The sequence below is a fragment of the Homo sapiens genome, chromosome 11 (assembly GCF_000001405.40).
Source record: "Homo sapiens chromosome 11, GRCh38.p14 Primary Assembly".
NCBI lineage: Eukaryota > Metazoa > Chordata > Mammalia > Primates > Hominidae > Homo > Homo sapiens.
In genome coordinates this window covers 102,829,089-102,852,247 of record NC_000011.10, presented here as the reverse complement: position 1 = coordinate 102,852,247, position 23,159 = coordinate 102,829,089, and the positions used below count along the sequence as shown (strand labels likewise).

The 23,159-nt window shown below is 38.2% G+C and overlaps 1 protein-coding gene and 1 pseudogene across 2 annotated transcripts in view, besides 2 other annotated features; one reads left to right on the top strand and one right to left on the bottom strand.

Annotated features, from left to right (window-relative positions):
- MMP3 (matrix metallopeptidase 3) lies at window positions 8,639-16,447 on the top strand. The gene is made up of 10 exons (NM_002422.5): window positions 8,639-8,806; window positions 9,332-9,576; window positions 9,669-9,817; window positions 9,969-10,094; window positions 11,655-11,819; window positions 11,996-12,140; window positions 13,005-13,138; window positions 13,538-13,697; window positions 14,847-14,950; window positions 16,022-16,447. The coding sequence occupies exons 1-10, from the start codon at window positions 8,702-8,704 to the stop codon at window positions 16,120-16,122; spliced, it is 1,434 nt and encodes a 477-aa protein (NP_002413.1). The 5' UTR covers window positions 8,639-8,701; the 3' UTR covers window positions 16,123-16,447.
- Window positions 15,277-15,778: an enhancer, noted in NCBI's record as "NANOG hESC enhancer chr11:102707201-102707702 (GRCh37/hg19 assembly coordinates)". NCBI's record gives its function as "activates a minimal SCP1, AML or CMV promoter by ChIP-STARR-seq in primed H9 embryonic stem cells {active_cell/tissue: H9 hESC(primed)}" and the evidence as "EXISTENCE:reporter gene assay evidence [ECO:0000049][PMID:30033119]".
- The window catches only part of WTAPP1 (WTAP pseudogene 1), a 53,091-nt pseudogene continuing 45,413 nt past the window's right edge, over window positions 15,482-23,159 (bottom strand). The window contains exons 5-8 of the transcript NR_038390.1: window positions 21,438-21,516; window positions 19,342-20,780; window positions 18,684-18,796; window positions 15,482-15,810 (exon numbers count right to left, since the gene is read on the bottom strand). The product of NR_038390.1 is annotated as a WTAP pseudogene 1 (transcript). The remainder of the gene's footprint in view (window positions 15,811-18,683; window positions 18,797-19,341; window positions 20,781-21,437; window positions 21,517-23,159) is intronic.
- Window positions 19,154-19,359: a silencer, noted in NCBI's record as "fragment chr11:102703620-102703825 (GRCh37/hg19 assembly coordinates)". NCBI's record gives its function as "represses an EF-1alpha promoter that drives an FKBP-Casp9 reporter gene in an ReSE screen in K562 erythroleukemia cells {active_cell/tissue: K562}" and the evidence as "EXISTENCE:reporter gene assay evidence [ECO:0000049][PMID:32094911]".

Genomic DNA, 23,159 nt, shown 5'->3' with positions numbered 1-23,159 from the left:
ATCGCTTGAACCCAGGAGGTGGAGGTTGCAGTGAGCCGAGATCATGCCACTGCACTCCTGCCTGGACAACAGAGCGAGACTCTGTTTCAAAAAAAATAAAATAAAATGAAATAAAAAATAAGTTATATATATATTTATGTTCTTAAAGGACAAGTTATATATATATAACTTGTGTGTGTGTGTGTATATATATATAATATATATAGTGTGTACATATATATAATAGTGTGAACCAGTTCACTTTTGTATTAAGTAAAAAACAAAACTTTGAGAAACTTGAATTTTAAAAGTAATGACAATGCATAGATATATATATATTGTGTTCTTTAAGAAAGGAGAAAACTATCATGTATATATATGTGTACATGTATGCATACACATATGTAGACATATACACACATATATGTGTGTATATAAACGTATATATGTCTGTTTGACCACATTACACACTCTGAGAAGATTCAAAGTCATTAATTACCAAAAACTATAAAATATAATGAAAGTTTAGAACCCTGGTTCCATTCTTTCCACCACATGGGTTAATGTGGAATAAGCTGGCTCACCAACAGCAGCTCTATGGAGTTGTATGAGTGAGCTCTGCCTTGGTGTACATCCAATCTTAATTTTAGCTGTTACTACAACACAAACTTTCATTCTGTCATTCTTACATAATGTGACCCATTCAAAGGATGTGTCAGCATTCATGAAGTCATGACTCAGAAGACGATGAGCTGTGTCAGAGCTGAGGTGAAGCGGCGCCTAGGACCATTACCACAGATTTGTCAGGGCAACGAGCATTACTGGTTAAAACTATTTGAAGAAATCTAACCTCTGGAATGAAGCACTTATGAATTCCGGAGTTTAAGCAAAAATTATGTGAGTAGCAAAAGAAGAGGTCATTGAGCCAAGGAAATACCCAGGACTCATCCTTTACAGAGATGCTTAAGCCATGGAATTAAGAGACAATTTTACAGTGAGAAACTGAATGTACAAATGGACAACTGCCAGATCATATATATATAACTTTGACCCACAACCTGCGGCAAACTGCCCAGGAAACCAATCCTCTTGTCTACAATAAATAGGCGAATTTATTGTCTACAATAAACAGGCCAGCCTGCTGCAAGTCAGATTTGCACACTGCCAGATTGTTACCTCTAGTGACAATCCAGGAAGCTAAACAATAACTTCTATCACAATTGGCCCCAAATGACCAAGAGTTGATTAATAACTGACAGCATCCCTAATTTTTGTCCCTGCTTCCAACTTAGAGAAAGATATGCCCTCCTAACCAATCACACAGGATGCCTACAGCTAGTTAGCCTCCCTATAGCATCCCCATTCCAAAGCCTCCAGTTTATCCCCATTTTTTTCCACTATAAAGCTTTCCTTCTCCTTCACCTGTCTTTGAGTCTCTGCCAAAACACAAGCAACAGTAGCTGACACCCTTGCTATGGCAAGCTCTGAATAAACAGCCTTTGCTTCTTCCTATTTAGTTGGTCTTTGTTTATTTCCACACCAGACAAAGATCTGCCAAGTCATAAAGAAAGGACCCCAACCTTAACTACAGACTAGCTCATTCCAATTCTTCCCAATTCACAAGCCTCAATGCCAAGCCATGCCTTTCTACTCTTGCCTGTCCTTTTTCTGTCTGTAATATCACTTTCCTTTCTTAATTCTTTTTACTTATATCTGCAGTCCTTCGGGTTGCCCTTGTGCCTCACTTGGAAGATTATAACAGCCCCTGAAATAGTCAACTTCATTTGCTTCACATTCTAATCCATCTCAATCACTGCCACCAGATAAATCTCACAGAAACACAGTTCTGATGTCATTTATCTGATCAAGAGCAACACATAGAAAATTTTCAGTCTAAGAGGACAATTCCTTAGTAGCCACTGAAGCAGCCTTTCCCAAACTTGCACTAGAGCACATAAAATGAAAAGCTTTTTTTAAGAATGATTTTTCCAGTTTTTATAAAAACAGTGAAGTTATATTAGAAAAAATATTCAGAAGCCTGTCTATGTTTGTCTCACGAAACCTGAAGAACCTCTTGTCATCTGAAAGATCTAGAAAGATATTTGTTCTCAGGGTCCAGGACATATATTTTTCTATCAACTATAATAGAAAACACTGAAGCTGTATCTCTACTGAACAGGTTTTGATATTGGAAGAGAGAAAAACGATTGTGAACTGAGTGTCATATTCACCTAAGATATTTCCCATAGGATATTTTAACAAAAGACATTCTCAGACATGCTGGAATCAGTAAATTTCACTCCTGAACCACCTTTGGAAAACGTTTACATAAAGACACACAATTGCCAACTGGCTAAAAGCGAACATTTCCAGAATGCATAGGTCAGGCTATGAAAAGCTTAATGGAGCTACGTTTACTGAACTTGTTTGAAAAAGTCAGTTTTCTGATTGAAAAGTGTCTTTTCAGGATTTGACAGCCTGGAGTTAAGCTTTATCCGTAATGTTTTTCATACCTGTTCTCCTGCTTCCACTCTAATCCTCATATGAGAAAAATTGTTTATCAAGCATCATTATTTTACCCTACAACCAGATGAAATATACTGCCTGTTGGAGAACCACTGAAAACTTTATGTTACTCTGTTTTACATAACTGGAATATTTGTGCCAAGAATATTACAAAATGCTCTTTCCCTCCATAAAAACAGAGTTGCCTGGAGCCACATAAAAGCTATTGTCATTCTCAAAGTATTTAAGTGATAGATTTCAACATTTTTACCACTCATGTGGAGTGATCTGAGTCATTATGCTTTTATAAATGAAAAAAGACTGAGCCATCACGTGCAGAAATTACCTGTGCCTCATCCCTTTTCTATTCTAATTCCCCTTCCAACTAGAATGTTTGAAAGTTTCTATGGCAAATAGGCATAAAAATCAGAATATATAGTCTGATTTCAACTATGAAAACCTATGTGATATGAAAAAGTGCTCAACATCACTGATTATCAGAGAAATGCAAATCAAAACTACAATGAGATATCATCTTATCCCAGTAAAAATGGCTTTTTTCCCAAAAAACAGGCAATAACAAATTCTGGCAAGGATGTGGAGAAACGGGAACCCTCATACATCCTTGGTGAGGATGTAAATTAGTACAACCACCATGGACAACAGTACGGAAGTTTCTCAAAAAACTAAAAATAGACCTACCATATGATCCAGCAATTCCACTACTGAATATTTATCTAAAGGAAATGAAATCAACATGTCAAAGAGATATTTACACTTCCATGTTAACTGCAGCACTATTCACAATAGCCAAGATTTGGAAGCAACCTGTGTCCGTCAACAGATGAATTGATAAAGAAAACATAGTACATATACACAGTGGAGTCCCATTCAACCATGAAAAAGAACGAGACCTGTCATTTGCAACAACATTGACGGAACTGGAGGACATTACATTAAGTGAAATAAGCAAGGCACAGAAAGACAAACTTCACATGTTTTCACTTATTTGTGGGATCTAAAAATTAAAACAATTAAATTCATGGAGATAGAGAGTAGAATGAGGGTTACCAGTAGCTGAGAAGTGTAGTGGGGGGTAGTGGGAGTGGGTATGGTTAATGGGTACAAAAATATAGTTAGAATGAATATTATATAGTATTTGATAGCACAACAGGGTGACTACAGTCAACAATTTATTGTACATTTTAAAATAACTAAACAATAAGTTGGAATGTTTGTAACACAAGGAAGTGATCAATGCTTGAGGTGATGAATACCCCCATTTACCCCAATGTGATTGCTACATATTGCATACCAGTATCAAAATATTTTATTGTTAGGCATAGTGGCTCATGTCTGTAATCTTAGCACTTTGCGGGGCCAAGGTGGGCAAATCACTCAGGCCTAGGAATTTGAAACCAGTCTGAGCAACATGGCCCTATAATTCAGATGGAATATGTTGCCTTGTTAGTACTTCTGTCCAGCTAGTGATATTCAAAATTGTGGAAAATATAGATGAAATTTTATAAACTCCCATGATCAGCATGATGTGAAAAAGAATACACAGGTATAAAGAAATTAGAGGAAATACATAGTTAATACTGTTAGTAGTGTTTTTCTTTTTGGGTCATGACTATAAAAGATTTATTTTCTTCTTTGTACTTTTTTATATATTCTAAATTTTCTATAATAAACATTTAACGTTTTATTTAAGTATGTAAAATTTATTTAAAATGTTTTGTAGAAACTAGTGTATTAGTTTGTTTTCACACTGCTGATAAAGACATACCAGAGACTGGAAAGAAAAAGAGGTTTAATATGGACTTACAGTTTCACGTGGCTGGGAAAGCCTCACAATCATGGCAGAAGGTAAGGAGGAGCAAGTCATGTCTTACGTGGAAGGCAGCAGGCAAAAAAAGTGCTTGTGCAGGGAAACTACCATTTTTAAAACCATCAGATCTCATGAGACTCATTCACTATCATGAGAACAGCGCAGGGAAGACCCACCCCCATAATTCAATCACCTCCCACTGGGTTCTTCCCACGACATGTGGGAATTGTTGGAGTTACAATTCAAGATGAGATTTGGTTGGGGACACAGCCAGACCATATCACATGGCTTTCCACCAACAATGGAATAAGCTCTAAGCACCTTAGCTACAGACTAATGGTCTTCTATGACTGGACTCCAACCTATCTTTTCACAACTTTATTTTTTATTTTCCATTATTACCCTTCACATACCTTTTATTTCAATAAAAAGTAACTCTTTGACGTTTTCCATATAGAGTCTTTCTTGACTCTGCATACTTGTATACTCTGTTACTGAATTTTCCTCCATTTCCACCCTTGTTCTTAGCCAAAAGGCCAAGAAGCAATTTTCCTCCATTTCCAGATCATTCCAGGCTCACTTTATCTGCTACTTTATCTATGAGTTTTTTCTAAAGGAAACACCTAAAGTAAGCAAGCACCTTCTGCTTAATTCGTGTACAACTTTTTACTTTTTTTTTTTTTTGAGACAGGGTCTTGCTCTCTTGCCCAGGCTGGAGTGCAGTGGCACCATCACAGCTCACTTCCAGGGCTCAAGTGATCCTCCTGCCTCAGCTTCCCAAATAGCTGGGACTACAGGTGTGCACTGCCACAAGTGGCTAATTATTTTTATTTTTTCGTGGAGCTGAGGTCTCCCTATGTTGCCTAGGTGGGTCTTCAACTTCTGGGCTCAAGCAGTCCTCCTATCTCAGTCTCCCAAAGTGCTGAGGTTATAGGCAGGAGCCACCATACCAGGCTTATTTCTTATAGAATTAATTATATAGGGGATTCTTTCCTTGGCTAGGTTATATTCTCTCCTTCCCTCCTTCCCTCCCTCCCTCCCTCCTTCCCTCCCTCCCTCCCTCTTTTCCTTCCTTCCTTCCTTTCTTCCTTCCTTCCTTTCTTCCTTCCTCTACCTTCTTCCCTTCCTTCCTTCCTATACCTCCTTCCCTTCCTTCCTTTCTTCTTTCTTTCCTGCTTTTAAACAGCTAGTTTGTTCACTTTTTTTTTTTTACTAAAATTTTCTAAACTTTATCTCCAAATCTATACTCTTAGTTTGGGTATTCTGAAGCCCTTGAGACTCAGATACTTGATAAATGAATGTATAGCTGAAATAATGATTATATCAGTTATCAGCTAGAGGTAGCAAGGATCCTGCACAATCATGTCTGATTAGTCATGGAGAAGTGTGACAAATAGGAAGACAAATGTGAAAAGTTACGAGATAGAATGTTACCTGGGATCACTGCCAGTTTTTAAATCCAAGGATTAGATTGAATGTAAATTTAATTCTAAGCCGCTGATCCCTGGGAGGTCAGATTTATAAAACTAGCCATTATCTGACCCTTGTATTTATTTAACCATATAACAAATGATTGTTCTGTGGAACAGTCATTTTGATTTCTTGCTGGAAATGCCCACTTTTTTTCCGCTAGTATTCAGTTCCTCCCTCTACACCTGGAGTGTTTGCTCTCCTCCTCCCCTCTCCTCATCTTCCTCCCCCTTTCTCTTCTCCCTCCTTCTCCCTCCGTTCCTTCTTACACTCAGTTGCTCTTTAATTTTACCTATTCCTTCTCATTACTGCATTGATTTTTAAAACATACTCTACAAAATGCAATTTGACTGTCTCATGCACGGTTAGAAAACTTCTGGTTCTACAAGATTAGTTTGAGTGTTCTGCAGACATATGAATGAGGACTTCAATTATATATTAGAGAGATTTTAGATGATAGCTTGATCTTTTCTTGTGGAAATACAACTTCTAAAAAATTTAGTTTTTAGAGTATTTAGTATATATGACATGTAGAATCTGCAAATCTAGAAATGTCTGCATGATTTTTGGATTTTTTGACTTTTAATTTACCTGTTTGACATTTGCTATGAGCCTTTCACTCATAACTAATATATTATTTAGTTCTCTAAGTAATTTTTGGTTACCTACTATATATCAGATACCATGCTAAGTACTAGGAATACAGAATCAAATGAGGCATGGTCCATACCCTCAAGTAGCTTACATTAGAATGAGAGAGACAGATAAACCATTTCACTACAGTTCAGTGTGGAAAATAGAGTAGCAGAGGCAGGTACAAGGTACCATTGAACAATGATTAATGACTCTTCCTGGGACTTGGGAAACATCTTTCAGGGAAGTCGTCGAAGCTGTTTTAAAATATAGCAAACTTTTGTATTTAGTTCAGGAACAGCATGGCCCATTTTGCCAATCACATCTTAACAGTTGGAAAAGCAAACATATTATCTATCAGGCTTTCCTCTAAACTTTAAATATGTTTTATAAGTTATAACTCCAGAGAAAATTTACAAAGGATAAACCTTAATATAGAAGGAATTAGAGCTGCCACAGCTTCTACACTTTTAACCTCTCAATATTTTATCTGTTGGGCTCCACTGTTTCTTCCTGGAATTCACATCACTGCCACCACTCTGTTCTCCTTGTCCTCATATCAATGTGGCCAAATATTTTCCCTGTATTTCAATCAGGACAAGACATGGTTTTTCCCCCCATCAAAGGAATGGAGAACCATAGAATACTAGTTTTAAAATGTCTTTAGGCCAGGTGCCGTGACCCATGTCTGTAATCCTAGCACTTTGAGAGGTTGAGGCAGGAGAATCACTTGAGCCCAGAGCTCGAAACCAGCCTGGGCAACATAGTGAAACCTCTGTCTCTATTTTTTAAATAAAATTTGAAAAAGTCTTTAGACATAATCTAGTCTAAAAATGAAGGCTTAAATGTGATGTATAGCCCCCTGCCAAGTGGCTATCAACTGTGTGGGCATCTTCAGTCATAGGGATCTTATTGCCACAGAGAAATCCCTTTAAACTTATTGGGTAAAATCTCTCCAATGTTTATTAAGAAACACACAAAAAATAAAGCAAAGAAGAAAATGCAAAAGAGTTATAAATGAGAGGAAGCAAAATGGGCACTTATTAAAGGTCTAATAAATGCACATTTGTATCCATCATTCTACTGAGTTCTTACTCCCAAGATGTTCTTCCCTTTAGCAAACAAATAAGCAAGTCAGCAAAGAAAGAAAGAACAAACAAAATGTGGTGATCAGGGAAGCATTGAGGAGATGGATGGTGGCAGGTGGCAAGAGGACTATAAAAGTTTTACAAAATGTCTTCCTCTGAATATGTTTAGAGTCTTGCATTCAAGCATTTATTATACACCAATAATGTGAGCAACACTTTACTTGACAAAGAAACAGAAAAGAAAGGAAAGGAAGAAAACAGAAGAGCATGAAGAGAAAATTTAGGATGGATTCTGTTCTTCAACTTCAAAGCATCTGCTAATTTGAATTTAGGGAGGAGGGGAAAAGGTTGAAAGAGAATAAGACATGTGTAGAAGACAAGGACAGAGAGAATTTCAGTCCGGTAAGCAATGTAATTCATTTCAATTCTACAACTATTTATGGAGCAGCTACGTGGGCCCATCACCCATTAATAAATTGGTTACAGAATTAAAACCAACCCAAAGGGAATATACTTCCTTCTTTTTCACAGACCCTCTTTGTTCTATTCTGCCCATGAGGTTTTCCTCCTCAAGAACCAGCAAATCCAACGACAGTCAATAGCAGGCATTACAAATCAGATTCAGAAAAATAAATCACCCCTTCTAAATTTCTTCTAGATATTATCTTTTATGTTTTGAGTATAATTGTATATAGTATAGACTATAGCTATGTATGTACACTTTCCACTTACATCTTTTATTTGCTTTTATAATGTGTTTCTTAAAATAAAACTGCTTTTAGAAGTTCTGCACAATTCTGATTTTTACCAAGTCAACCTACTTCTTCTCTCAAAAGGACAAACATAAATTGTCTAGTGAATTCCAGTCAATTTTTCCAGAAGAAAAAAAATGCTCCAGTTTTCTCCTCTACCAAGACAGGAAGCACTTCCTGGAGATTAATCACTGTGTTGCCTTGCAAAATTGGGAAGGTTGAGAGAAATTAGTAAAGTAGGTTGTATCATCCTACTTTGAATTTGGAATGTTTGGAAATGGTCCTGCTGCCATTTGGATGAAAGCAAGGATGAGTCAAGCTGCGGGTGATCCAAACAAACACTGTCACTCTTTAAAAGCTGCGCTCCCGAGGTTGGACCTACAAGGAGGCAGGCAAGACAGCAAGGCATAGAGACAACATAGAGCTAAGTAAAGCCAGTGGAAATGAAGAGTCTTCCAATCCTACTGTTGCTGTGCGTGGCAGTTTGCTCAGCCTATCCATTGGATGGAGCTGCAAGGGGTGAGGACACCAGCATGAACCTTGTTCAGGTAATTAACACTAACTGACCTGGCCAGGTGGGGAGCTTCCAGAGTAAGCTGAAACCATTCTGTGTGTCTTAAAACCCACATAGAATGCTTGAGCTTACTGTGTAGGAACAGTTCAAGAATAGAGAGTTATAGAGTGTTGGAAGTGGAAAAGGTCTCATTATCACACCATTTGGGCTTCTCCTCTTATGTAGGAAGAAACAAAGGCCAGAAATATTAGGTGTTTTCTTAAGATCACACAACACCATAGCAGTAGCAGCACTGGGGCTTAAGGCACATGAGTAACAAGTGGAGAGTGGATGAACCATATCTTGCTTTGGAACAGCTTCAGTTTTTTTTTTAATGCAACGTAATTTTAGCTAAATATTTGTGTTGCTAGTATCATATTATAAAATTTGCCATTATTTCAGCAAGCTAGAGAAATACTCCAAATAGATTAAGAAGTGAGCAACTGCAAAAACTTACTATAAATAGATAGCTATAGTAAAAATTGTAAGAGTGACCTAAAAACTATACTTATTCTGTTAGAAATATCTAGAAAACTACTACGACCTCAAAAAAGATGTGAAACAGTTTGTTAGGAGAAAGGACAGTGGTCCTGTTGTTAAAAAAATCCGAGAAATGCAGAAGTTCCTTGGATTGGAGGTGACGGGGAAGCTGGACTCCGACACTCTGGAGGTGATGCGCAAGCCCAGGTGTGGAGTTCCTGATGTTGGTCACTTCAGAACCTTTCCTGGCATCCCGAAGTGGAGGAAAACCCACCTTACATACAGGTAATGGTTCAGAGGGGTTTTCACATAAGATTGGAATTTTATAAACTATATCATAGGAGAAAATAGCATCTGCTTCAATTTTTCTCCTACAGGATTGTGAATTATACACCAGATTTGCCAAAAGATGCTGTTGATTCTGCTGTTGAGAAAGCTCTGAAAGTCTGGGAAGAGGTGACTCCACTCACATTCTCCAGGCTGTATGAAGGAGAGGCTGATATAATGATCTCTTTTGCAGTTAGAGGTAAAAAAAAAAAAAAAAAAAAAAAAGCAAAACAAAACAAAACAAAAAACACATGAAATGTATCCATTCATCTATCTGGTGTTGTTGTACTGGAAAAGGCTCAAAAGGGATCCTTGTTACATATCTTTCCAATAAATTTTTTTCCTACTAGAACATGGAGACTTTTACCCTTTTGATGGACCTGGAAATGTTTTGGCCCATGCCTATGCCCCTGGGCCAGGGATTAATGGAGATGCCCACTTTGATGATGATGAACAATGGACAAAGGATACAACAGGTTAGTTACACATCTCTCAGAATGATTTTGGCATTAATTTTTTTATATGTAGAAATCTGTTAATAACCAAGAATGCTCAAGAAATGAGATGTTCTGGATTTTCCAGTGGATCAGAGATCAGCAGAATATATTTTTGTTTTAATTATTATTGAAAATATTTTCAGATGCTTTAACAGTTTTCCTATATTGGTAAGCACAATATAGGAAATATCATTAAGTATTTCTTTAATGACTGGATCTTTGTGATCTAGGGGTAACCATTATTAAGAAAAATTTCTCATATCAAAATACAAACATTCAAGGGATAGTATATTGCACTGAATCTACATTAAAATGTGCTCTGGATGTTACTTATGTAATTTCCTCCATTTACTTCTTTACTCTTCAAACCAGAAATAAGAATTAAATTTCAGAAACTGAGATTCTCTTTTTTTTTTTTTTCTGGCTGAGGCATTATTTTAGTACTTTTAGGTTAAAAGAATTTTTATGGGCTTGTTCTGAAGGAAAAGACTAACTCCCAAATACAACGTTCAAACTGTTTAGGTAGAAGAATGTTTCTCAGTTCATAACTGTATGTTTTGGGGAATGACATCCAAAGTTTTCAAAAAAATCAGCTAAAACAATTAACACTACTTCTAAAAAAATAGGAAAACAATTAATACTATGTCTGAGGTTTAACTGGGATTTATAATGAAAATGTAAACCTCTGTAGGACGTACAAATGTGAGTTTAGTCCTGGATAGAATTCTTGATTGGTTGAGTTAACGAATTCTTGTAAAGAAACCTTCCTGCAAACTCTCAAATGAGATTGTTCCTAGCATCACAAGTTACACAAGTAATACTAGCAAAAGTAAGGTAGATTTACTTACTATATTGATCATAATTACCCAATGCCTCCCAATTTTAGCATTATGGGTGTTTTTAAAAATATGAAGGAAAAAATTTTGAATAAAGCCAGTGTTTATGTATTCTAAATCTGTTGTGTGACAAATGCTAGACATGATTGGGCATACTGTGTTTTAAACCAATTTTGCAAATCCTATGACATCTATCATTATTCATGTTTTTAGTCTCAATATGTACTTCATGATGATGAGGCTGAGACATTATCAATTAACATGAATATAGTTTCCTTTAACTGAGACTGCAAATGGCAAATGTAAATATATTAAAACAGTGTTTAGCTTTGCATTGACAAATGAAGGTAAATATCTGATATGCTAAGCAAGTGGGTTCATTCCATTCCTGAGTACAAGAAAAGGGATCTGGTTCTTCTGGAGTTAATATGCTTGTGAGGCTGGGGGTGGGTTTGGGGCCATGGGGGGCAAGTGGATGTAACTGGGAAATCAATCTCAAAGATTGATTACAGGTATGAGTTTTAAAATACACTTAGCTTTCCATTAAGTGTGTAATTAGTCAATTGTTCAATTAACCAACAAACAAGGTGTAAAAAGCCCTGTGTGGTTCCAAGAAGTAAAAACCAATACAATGCACAGCAGACCTGTGTAATGCACATGTATTTAAAAAATAAGTAACTATTGTTCTCAATTTCTTAAATAGGGACCAATTTATTTCTCGTTGCTGCTCATGAAATTGGCCACTCCCTGGGTCTCTTTCACTCAGCCAACACTGAAGCTTTGATGTACCCACTCTATCACTCACTCACAGACCTGACTCGGTTCCGCCTGTCTCAAGATGATATAAATGGCATTCAGTCCCTCTATGGTGAGTGACACTGGGAAAATCAGCCATTGTAGTTTTGCAATGATGGTCTTCAGAAGAGCTTTCAAATGCTACATAAAGTATTTATGATTTAGTTCAAAGCACCGTGAGAATGTTTGGAAAGCATACAAATGGGCATATATTGAAACGTATCACATTTCCCCTAATGTTCCCTTTAGGACCTCCCCCTGACTCCCCTGAGACCCCCCTGGTACCCACGGAACCTGTCCCTCCAGAACCTGGGACGCCAGCCAACTGTGATCCTGCTTTGTCCTTTGATGCTGTCAGCACTCTGAGGGGAGAAATCCTGATCTTTAAAGACAGGTCAGGCTGAAAAATTATATTTTCCTACCATTTTAATCTACAATGTTTAGAAAGGAAAACACGCAGAAACTTGATAGAGATTCTTAGACATTTAAAACAAAAACGTTTCTTCTGAGCTTGGAATCATTTAGATCTGGTGCTGCCTTTTCCCACATTTTCCTAAAATTGTCAGGTTCATTTTTGAAGGCACAGGCTGATCTGGTTCTTAGCTTCTAATTGCTGTTTCCAAATGTCTTAAGTCACAGTTACTTTTCAAAAGGCATGAGTAGATCTTTCGAATAATAATTTTATTTTTACTTCCTTTAAAAATGACATCAGGATCAACATTACATTTAATCAAGTAATTTACTTACTGATGGATCAATATGCACATGACAAACATTCAAAGAGCACAAATGAGAAGCAAATTAAAAATTTTAGTTCCCAGTTCTCCCTGTACTCATCCAGAGTCAAGACTTTTTGTGCATCCTTCCAGAATCTTTCTACACACATACAAGAATATATTTACACAGCACATACACGTATACAAACACGGCCTAGCTTTTGGAAGAGGGTATAGCACACGCACTGTTTTGCATACATTGCAGGTAATTAAAGCTTATGCTGGGCTAATTCATTTGCACGATAGAATAATTTTTCTTTCATAGAAGACATTACTCTGGAAACCTATGACGGGAGACTCACTACAGTCTTCTGAAGAAAAAGGAAAGAAATTTTCTAATGGCAATATACCTGATTTCTATCTGTCATCCAGCCTAGAAGATGAGAGAATGGGGGAAGCTGGGTGAGGCAAGACGGTGAGGAAAATATTCTAAAGGTGAAAGATTGTTTTTCAATTTACATTTCTTTTTACATATATTTTAGGCACTTTTGGCGCAAATCCCTCAGGAAGCTTGAACCTGAATTGCATTTGATCTCTTCATTTTGGCCATCTCTTCCTTCAGGCGTGGATGCCGCATATGAAGTTACTAGCAAGGACCTCGTTTTCATTTTTAAAGGTAATTACTATATCATCATTTGTTTAACTTGCCAAAGTAAACCCTCTCATAAGAAATTGAACAACACTTTAATTTTCCCTACTACAAGTTCTGGCTAATACAGTAGTCAACGGTAATGAAGAAATAACCAGGGCTGATATCATTGTATTTATATTTCATAGATGATAAAAATAAAGACAAGAAGATAAATTACCCAGAGTTGTAAATTCTCTCATTTGACCTTAGTTCATTCATTCAGTCTGCAAATTTTTGTGAAAAGCCCACTGTAAGCTGGTGACTAAATCTAAAATTTGGGCTACTACTTTACCATGAAAATCAAAGATGCTAAAGTGTATTTCTAAAGCGAAAGGGCTTAACTGTTATAATTCAATATGACTCTGAATTATTTATATTTAACAGGAAATCAATTCTGGGCTATCAGAGGAAATGAGGTACGAGCTGGATACCCAAGAGGCATCCACACCCTAGGTTTCCCTCCAACCGTGAGGAAAATCGATGCAGCCATTTCTGATAAGGAAAAGAACAAAACATATTTCTTTGTAGAGGACAAATACTGGAGGTGAGATGCAAGAGAAATGACTTTGTATGGAGCCTAATTAGGGAAATTAGTTTCTTTTACTAAGGAAATCCCCCACCCCAACCTTAGGCCTGCTTCTCTCTTAGTAGGAAGGATGGGACTTCAGACAACTGTGGGAAAGTTCTTACTTTAAAACAGCAGCACCTTAGGCTCTCCTGCTTTCAGTCCCAAGTGCAGTTGGCTGGTGCTTCCCTTGGTGCTGTCACCCCACCTGCCTGGAGCCCCCTCTTCTCTCCTCAACCTATTCAAATCTTGCCCATCCTTCAAGTCCTGGCTCAAGTCTCATCACCTCCATGCAGCTTTCCCTCGTGGACTTTAGACCCATTGGGAAAATGTTCTGAGAACCCAGACCGCAATTTAGCGTTCCCTTCCCATTGTCTTTTAGTTTGGCTCACTGTCTCACTGTGTGTTTGTCACTGTCTCATTGTGTGTTTGTTTTGTCTTCCTAACACTACTATATGATTTTCAAGGGCTACCTCTAACCTCACCCACTTGTCACCTCTACCTGATAATGATGGCTCATTTAAGAGATGATGATCAATAGCAGTCCAGTTTATGGATACAACCCAACACTCACAGACAGGTTGATTCCTGGGTCATTTGGCCAGACTTTGAGACATCGAGGCCGACCATCTGATATCCAGCCAATGGGCTAAAAACACACTTACTGTGCTTTGCTTCTTATCCTAATCCCTTTTCCCAGGAGGCCACCAGAGAAGATTTAGATGTGCAGGGGAGGGGACAGCAGGCATATATGGGCCAATTGTGGTAGGGAATTAAAATTGCATTTTAGATGTTGATTCAATTCACTTTATATATATGTTCACACTTTCATGTCTTTGTGACAGAAAGATGATTAAGGTTCTTTCTGTCCAGGCTTAAGAAATATGATGACAAACAGCATGTGCTACATACAGCAGGATGCGGCCCCTGTTCCGGATGGAGATATGGCTTTCAGAACTCTTTACAGTACCATTAAAGTCACATATTTCTATAGTCCCAAATATGCTTGGCATTTATTTGCAGTATTTATAAAGTTTAGTAAAATTCCACATTAAACCTAACATGATCTAAGATGTTCGGTAACATGGCCTCTATGCAATGCTGAGCTGTTTCTTTTACTTGGTACAGATTTGATGAGAAGAGAAATTCCATGGAGCCAGGCTTTCCCAAGCAAATAGCTGAAGACTTTCCAGGGATTGACTCAAAGATTGATGCTGTTTTTGAAGAATTTGGTAAGAGGATACTTACTGTGTTGGCCATAGAGCACTTGAAACATTTTATGATATCAGAGGGAAGAGGAGCATTGAAACTTTTTAATAACAAGTGTTTCTTAGGGCCAGTTCCCTTCTCAAAATTTTGATTCGCCTACATTTGTACTCATTATAGAACTACTTCACAAAATAACTTGTTTGGAACCATAAAGATAATTACACAAATCTCGCTACTTTATCTTATACATGCATATAAAATCAAAGTGCTCCAGTGTCACTTACATCTCGAGCTAACATGTGGAGTCAAGCTCGACTTTCAGATTACCATGTTAGCATAAAAATCCCATCAAGTGGTGTGGCCAGGTTTAATGTTGGTTAGCTGGCCTTCTCCTCCACCCTATCTTATTGCTGCTACTAATTCCCAGGGAGATTTTTTGTCTGTCTTTCCTGAGTTGTCAGTCATTGCCCATGCCAGTCATTTGCAAATACTTACCTTTCCATGTGCCCAAAGTTTAAAAAAAAAAAAAGATTTTGTTTTCTACTCAAGGTAAGGAAGTGGAGGCTGATGATCTTTATTGAAAGGTAACCTGATCACCATGTTTGCAGAGCACTAAAGGGTCCCCTGGTGTTTTGAAATAGTTGCTGTGCTTCCTAGGCTGCAATGCAGGGAAAAGGGAGGAGGATTTTTGGGGAAGAAAGAAATAGGTGATGAGAGTTTCCAAGCAAGTGGAGAATTTATCTGATCGGAAGCAGAATAACCCTGTAACCTGGAATCTGGCTGTGTTTTCAGACAGAGCTGGCACCGAGTGCTGTCTCCATTCTTCCTTGCTGAGTAACCTTGAGGAAGCATCGAAATCTGTCTCAACCTCAACTTGCTCAATCTGTAAATGGAGTTAGACATACAACCTCATAGGGTTGTTGCAGAAATAAATGAAAATAAATTCATGTAACAAGCTTGGCATAGTCCCTGACATAAAGTAAAGCTCTATAAACACTTTCTATTTTTAGTTCTCTATGATTCTGAGTTTTGTATATTGTCAAATGTCTTTATTTGGAAAAATATCTTACTATTTCCCTTGTCTGTATTTGCAGGGTTCTTTTATTTCTTTACTGGATCTTCACAGTTGGAGTTTGACCCAAATGCAAAGAAAGTGACACACACTTTGAAGAGTAACAGCTGGCTTAATTGTTGAAAGAGATATGTAGAAGGCACAATATGGGCACTTTAAATGAAGCTAATAATTCTTCACCTAAGTCTCTGTGAATTGAAATGTTCGTTTTCTCCTGCCTGTGCTGTGACTCGAGTCACACTCAAGGGAACTTGAGCGTGAATCTGTATCTTGCCGGTCATTTTTATGTTATTACAGGGCATTCAAATGGGCTGCTGCTTAGCTTGCACCTTGTCACATAGAGTGATCTTTCCCAAGAGAAGGGGAAGCACTCGTGTGCAACAGACAAGTGACTGTATCTGTGTAGACTATTTGCTTATTTAATAAAGACGATTTGTCAGTTATTTTATCTTATTGTTGTGTTTGTTTGTTTCAAGGGCAAGTTGTTCTCATAATTTGGGCACTTTATGGGCTGAGCATGCTCAGCCAGTAGACTAGAGTCTCCATGGCTTGGGGTTCACAATGGGTTCCAGAACTGCAGAGAATCTACCACTTGCCCTCCTCATGAGCCCTGCAAACAGGATGCTTATTTCTACCACCTAGACATTTTATGTGTCCTGACATACCTAAGGCAAAAAATCTAGAGGGGTTGTGACATTGTAGAGCAGGCTCTAGGAAAAACTGTGAAGGGAATCCTATAATCATAGCAAATTGCCTTGTTTGCACATCTCATTTTACAGGGTGAGGAAATCAGACTTGTTTTTCATCTTTTCCTTTTACTTATAAATTCCCTCAGTGCAGGTCCCTCCCCTGACCTAGCAAGCAAACTTCCTCATATCTACCCTATTCACATGGTAAAATATACTCTTGTACTCATTTTGTATCTGCCTGTGCCTGGATGTAAATGCCCATTGGCAAATGACGATTCTAACATTGGTTTATCATCCATAACTAATGTCTCTAGCACAATGCCTCGTACATGGTAAGAGCCGTTTTTAACTTATCCATTCATCTGAGAGTAATTTACAAATCATATTCCATATGCCAGGCATTATGCTAGGTTGCAGGCATAAGAATATGAAAATAATAGACACAGGCCCCTGCCCTCATCGAGATTATAATCCAGCGAAAAGAACACGTGTAGATAACCACAAATATAAATACGCAATTGTAAATTTCATAAGAGTTATAAAGGGAAAAAAATAATAGGAGGATCTATTTTGAACCAGATGGTTTTAGAAGAACTTTTGAGGGAATGGCATTGAAGGAGGTTTTGAAAGGAGGTGTGGAGACTAAGAGGGGAGATGATGGCTTGGACCACATGGGCACACGGGAGAGTTAGGAATGAGAGTAGACTCTATAGATATGAGATAGATAACAGAACTTAGTGATGGATTAGATATGCAATTTGAGAGAAAAGGAAATGTTCCGAGTAAATCCTAGGTAGCTTGCTTGAGCATAAGAGCTGATGGTGACGGCATTTACTGAGATGGGGAAAGACTTGGAGAGAAGAAGGTTTGTGAAGGAAGGGCAAGAGTTAGGATGAATTTTTTATGTTTGCCCATTTTTGAAATGTGTTGGAGAAATTCAAGCACCCAAGAGCTAAAGGAATCTGAAATGCAAAAGAGACACACACATATATATAAAACATATATGTATATGGAAGGTTTCAACATTGAGATTATTCTTAAAGCCAGAAGTATGGGAGAGATCATATGGGGAGAGTTTAAGATAAAACTAATGAATAGCAACATTTGGTCAAAATTTACAGCATTTCTTTATTTTTAAAATTACCTAATTTTATTTATTTCTAATAGGTACTACCTTAGCCACAACACAAAATCCAAACGTTAAAAGACATTATGCAATATAAACAATTTTCCTCCCACCCCTGTTTCCAACATCTAACTCCTTTTCTCAGAGGTAACCAAGCAGATCTTTCTTGAATCCTTCCAGAGCTATTTTACGCATACCAAGCATTAATATAATCTTTCAAAATAAAAATGGTACTATGCAAAATTACACTGTCTTGCTCTTTGATTTTTTTCACTTAATGTATCTTGGCAGCTATTCCACATTAGTACATGTAGAATTGCTTTATTCAATTTTTTTTTCTTTAGGTGCACTTAATTTAATATCAAGACCACAATACAAAAGGCCCAAATACAATGAAAAAACACATTTGTCCATTAACACCAATGATAATGCTCTTTCAGCACATGCCTGCCGAATGGAATGCGGATTTAATAAAGCTCACTCCTGAAAAAAATAACCCAGTGAGTCTCACCACAGCCAACATCCTTAAGCAATCTGGTTGTGAAATGAATGTTTATAATGCTTCAAACAGCTTAAACCTGAAGTTTGATACCACACCTTCATGTTTGCACAGTTCTCAATAAGATTATCTACAATATTTACAACCATTCAAAGGTAAACCATTGATTAAAACCACATTCATTTAAGACTCAATAATTCCCATAAATATGTACAATTATTATGTATCAATAAAAAAGAATCAAGTAATATAGAGCCTCAAACTAAATGGTTAAATATATGAACGACTTATACTGACAACTAATATTTGATTTTCTGTGACTATTTAAGGTTGGTTCTTAGCAAATAATCCCTTTAAAGGCAAAATTCACCTCATTTGAGTTTTGACCCAGCAGTTCAACAACAATGATGAAGTTCACAGTCTTACTGGCAAAACCAATATGTTGAAAAGTCCTCATTTAACATCTGGATAAGTTCTTGGAAACTCTGATTTTAAGCAAAGGGATGCATAAGGAAACCATTTTTACCATAGGCTAATTGATACAAACAAGAGTTAAATTTCTATGGCATATTTCTAAGTCACAAAAACATCACCGAACTTCTAACTAAAGACCAAAACACTTCTAAATAGTAAACACTGTAGGCCCAGCACAGTGGCTGACACCTGGAATCTCAGCACTTTGGGAGGTCAAGACGGGCAGATCACTTGAGGTCAGGAGTTCAAGACAAGCCTGGCCAACATGGTGAAACCCTGTCTCTACTAAAAATACAAAAATCAGCAAGACGTGGTGGCATATGCCTATAATCCCAGCTACTCAGGAGGCTGAGGCAGGAAAATCGTTTGAACCAGGGAGGCAGAGGCTGCTGTGAGCCGAGATCGCGCCACTGAACTCCAGCCTGGGCGACAAAGTGAGACTCTGCCTCAAAAAAAAAAAAAAAAAAGAAAAGGAAAAGTAAACATTGAAATAAATGCGAGTTATGCATACATTTAAGAAAAATTAATAAAAAACAAGTAAGATAATTATTTACCTTCTTGTTTCAGTTCAGAGTGTTGAGTGGCTGGAGCCCATCCTGGCAGCTCAGGCCAGCCCTGGATAGGACTCCATTCCATCATCGCAGGGCGCACTCATACTCACTCACACTCACCAGTCTGCGACCATGTAGACAAGCCAGTGAGCCTCATGTGCACAGCTGTGGGATGTGGGAGGAAACCAAGTACCCAGAGAAAATCCACAAAGACACAGGGAGAACCTGAAAACTCCACACAGACCATGGCCCTGACCGGAAATGGATTTTTTTTCTCTTCGACGTCATAACTAATCCATGTTATTTGAAGACCTGCTCTTTAGAGTTTCTAAGTCACTATGCTCAAGGGTAAGAGCAATGCATAGTCCATTTTCCATTTTACTGGAATTTATGTTCAATTCATGATTTAAAGTCTCCAGGTTTTCATTTCTCCGAACTGTCCAAAGACATTGTGTGCCTTAGGACCTTGTTTCTCCCTCTATTTTCTTCAAACAGAAACATTTCTCAAGTATCCACATGTTCCCAAAGAGGAATTCTTCAGAGGTGGCCGCTTCTTTGGGATAGTGCAAGTCTACCAGGCTTCTGAAGCAAAGCGGATGGGGAGGGAAAGAACTGAAGTGCAAGGTTCATTGGTAAGTTTCACATTAACCATTAGGAGCTGGGGAGTATAAAAATGCGGCTTTTTTCCTTTCCTCTCAAAAAGTCTGAGTGTTGGTGTAGAAACGAGTCCTTGGCTGTCCCCCCAGTGACTTTCTAGTAGTGGGACTGTCAGGGAAGCCTTGACTGAGAATATGACTGGAGAGTTTACCTACCAGGCGTAAACTTCCAGGCACTCTGTTCATTTTGGGCTTGTTCCCGTTTGTCTTCAGTCAGGGCCAGATCACCTTTCATTTTTAGGAAAACAGGTTGATGGCTCGGTCTACCATTGTTGATCGGGCCACGCTGGGCCACAGATTTGCTGGAGGTACTAAATTCGGGTAGGACGCCTCGCATCTCCTGCCTCTTGTCTGCTAGTCGCATCGCAAGGACGTTTGCCCCGCGCAGACTCTTGCTGCTTTTGCTTTAGTTTTCACTGAGGTTGAGGTCAGCGTTCTTGCCTCCAAAGCTTGCGCATGTGTTTCATATTGTTTCCATTTTAGAATTCATTCATCTCCTGCCATCCGTTTGAAGTTTCGCTCAGTCTAACCCTTTGGGGAAGAGGGTTTTTTGTTGGTCATCTTGAATCCGAAGAGTCGCCTCCCAGATGCGGCCGTGGTCACCCACCGCCAGCCCCACCAGGGAGGAAAGGAAGGGGGCTGGTCGCCAGCAGAGCCCGATTCGTCGGACCTCGCTCTGGCTCTTCCCCGGAGTCTGGCGCCCCTCCGCGGCCACGGGACTCTGCGAGCTCCTGTTTATTGCACCAGCTGCGCTCAAAGGAAGAAATACGCAGCTTATTCAGTCCCCTATTGGTGATTCAATAAATACATTTATACATTAAATAAATGCAAAAACCAACTAAATAAAATGTTAAAGTAACAAAAAATAAAATTAGTTTGAAATAAGTGTAAATATTAAAAGAAAATAATTTTATAACATTTGAATATATTTATATAATATTTAAAATTAAAATATATTTAAGATAAAAATAATAAAACATAAATGAAATAAAATTGTGTGCATCAGTAGATTATTTTCAGTATTCAGTGTATCAGTAGCCTATTTTTTAATATTTTGCTGTGATATCCAACGCTACAGTGAATATCCTTAAGCACACTTGCATATTGGATGGAAAATCTAATCTTCAAAGGCTGAGCAGAGATACAGGAGCAGGAAAACTATTTGTTGGATTCTCCAACATGAGGGCCACTGATGCTCTTTACAACAGCAGCGTTGGTGAAGTGATGGAGCTGAATTCTGATTGAAGCTGGTAGAAAAGTTGGCAAGTTAGGGTGTTTTTGGCTATAGGTAGCAGAAAATCTCAACTGATTTAAAAATAAGGAATTTTCTGGTTCATATTACATAAAAGTACAGCACTAAGACAGGTTTTAGTTTCGGTGCGATCAGAGTTCTGGCTCCATCACTTTGCGGTTATCTTGGTTCTGTCCTTGTGTCAGTTTTACCTTGAGGCTGGCTTTCCTCACGGCAGCAACACAGCTATGTTGTTTAGTGTCCAGGCAACGCACCTTCTTAAATCACCACCTTCAAACACGAAAGGACAGTTCTGAGTGTCCTCCTGTTTGGACCATCCCTTACCATATGGTCATCCTAGACCAATCACCATGGCAGGGAGGATCAATCAATTTCACTGCAGTCATGTTTTTGTTACACAGTGAGGTGAAGGAAAGACATTGAGTCACCAATCTCTGTCCATCTACTACAAAGAGAAACTGGAATGTGAGAAAGTCGAAATAACAGATGCAAATAATTCTTAGGAAATGTTGTGCTGAGAAGGAAGTGGAAAATACTTTCTCTGTGCTATCAGACCTGATTCATAGTTCTTATGCATGTCTTAACTGTTAGGCTGGTAGTTGATTTCAATAATGCAGAAATATAAGTTTAGAGTAATTCAGTAGCATTGCCATAATCACATAGCAAGTACATAGCCAGGATCCAATTTCATATCCTTCTAGATTCAAAGATCATGTTCTTATTTTGTCTAGGGACCCAGACAATAAATCAGCCTGGTTGCCTTATCTTTTCAGTTTTGACTCCATTCCGAACTAGGGGTTCTGCAGTGTCATATGGCATGACCACATTGGGGCTGGTTCTTCCTCAATTCTGCAGTTTAAAATCCCCACAGCCCAAGGGCCGGGGTTCTTTTGAGTCTGATATCTAGCCCTGCTAAATTTCTTTGTGCTGTCCTAAATTGTAATGAACAATGGAGAACCTCACACCAGCTACTCGTCTGTAAATTTCCCCAAGCAATCTTGTTCCAGAAATGTTTGTTTGTTCCAGGTATGTATTTTTGTGCTGACAAGGCTTTCACCTGAATTTGACACCGACCAGAGGCTAAGCCCCAGGGACCAGACATGTAGCCCATGTCGGGACAAGACCAGCTCTAATGGTGACTGATGCTGAATCCCAGAATGATGTTTGATAGCTGGCTCAATTCCTCTTGCTTCAGGCAGGCTTATTGGAGTACGTTTGCATTTACAGGAAATCATGCAGTGACACTAGACTGGGGGAGGGACACTAGACTGGGGGAGGGACACTAGACTGGGGGGCAGGGGAGGAAAGCAGAAGCTGGGAATCTGGTTTGGACTCAGCAATAAACCAACAGAAATATGGGTTTGACACAAATAAGAACGTTCATAAACGATAAAGTACAGAATCTCACCAGTTAGTGAGCAGATGGGTTATAATGACAGAAGCATTTAAGAAGCCTATTATCACAAATCAAGCAATATGGAGATTAGCCGTGATCCTATTGTGAAGGAGCACTGTGGGAAGAGTGCATTGAAGCTACTCAGATCTGGCAGGAATAACTTGTGAAAGCAATTTTCTGTAAAATTGAAGAAGTTGGCAGGGTTTAATTATGAGAAAAAGTCCAGCTTGCTAACCACCTGGGATTTGGGTAGAATCATTCTGGAAGCAGCACAAACACCCTTTGCCTTGGTTTATAATCACTGATAATAATCTGTGTGTAAAACTTTAGTGGCTGTAGCGGACCTAAAATAGTAATTATCTTTTCTTTGGTTGGGAGCAAATTAGCTACTTCTGGAAGGAATATATGTATGTACATTATATATAATGTATATTATACATAATGTATGTAATGTATATTATACATAATGTATGTAATGTATATTATACATAATATATTATATTCTACAATGTAATCT

Bases quoted from the DNA above. Each gene is read 5' to 3' on its own strand.
- MMP3 (NM_002422.5), top strand. From the start codon at position 8,702: ATGAAGAGTCTTCCAATCCTACTGTTGCTGTGCGTGGCAGTTTGCTCA. The intron at 9,818-9,968 runs GTAAAAAAAAAA...TTTTCCTACTAG, and splicing joins GATCTCTTTTGCAGTTAGAG to AACATGGAGACTTTTACCCT. The intron at 10,095-11,654 runs GTTAGTTACACA...TTTCTTAAATAG, and splicing joins ATGGACAAAGGATACAACAG to GGACCAATTTATTTCTCGTT.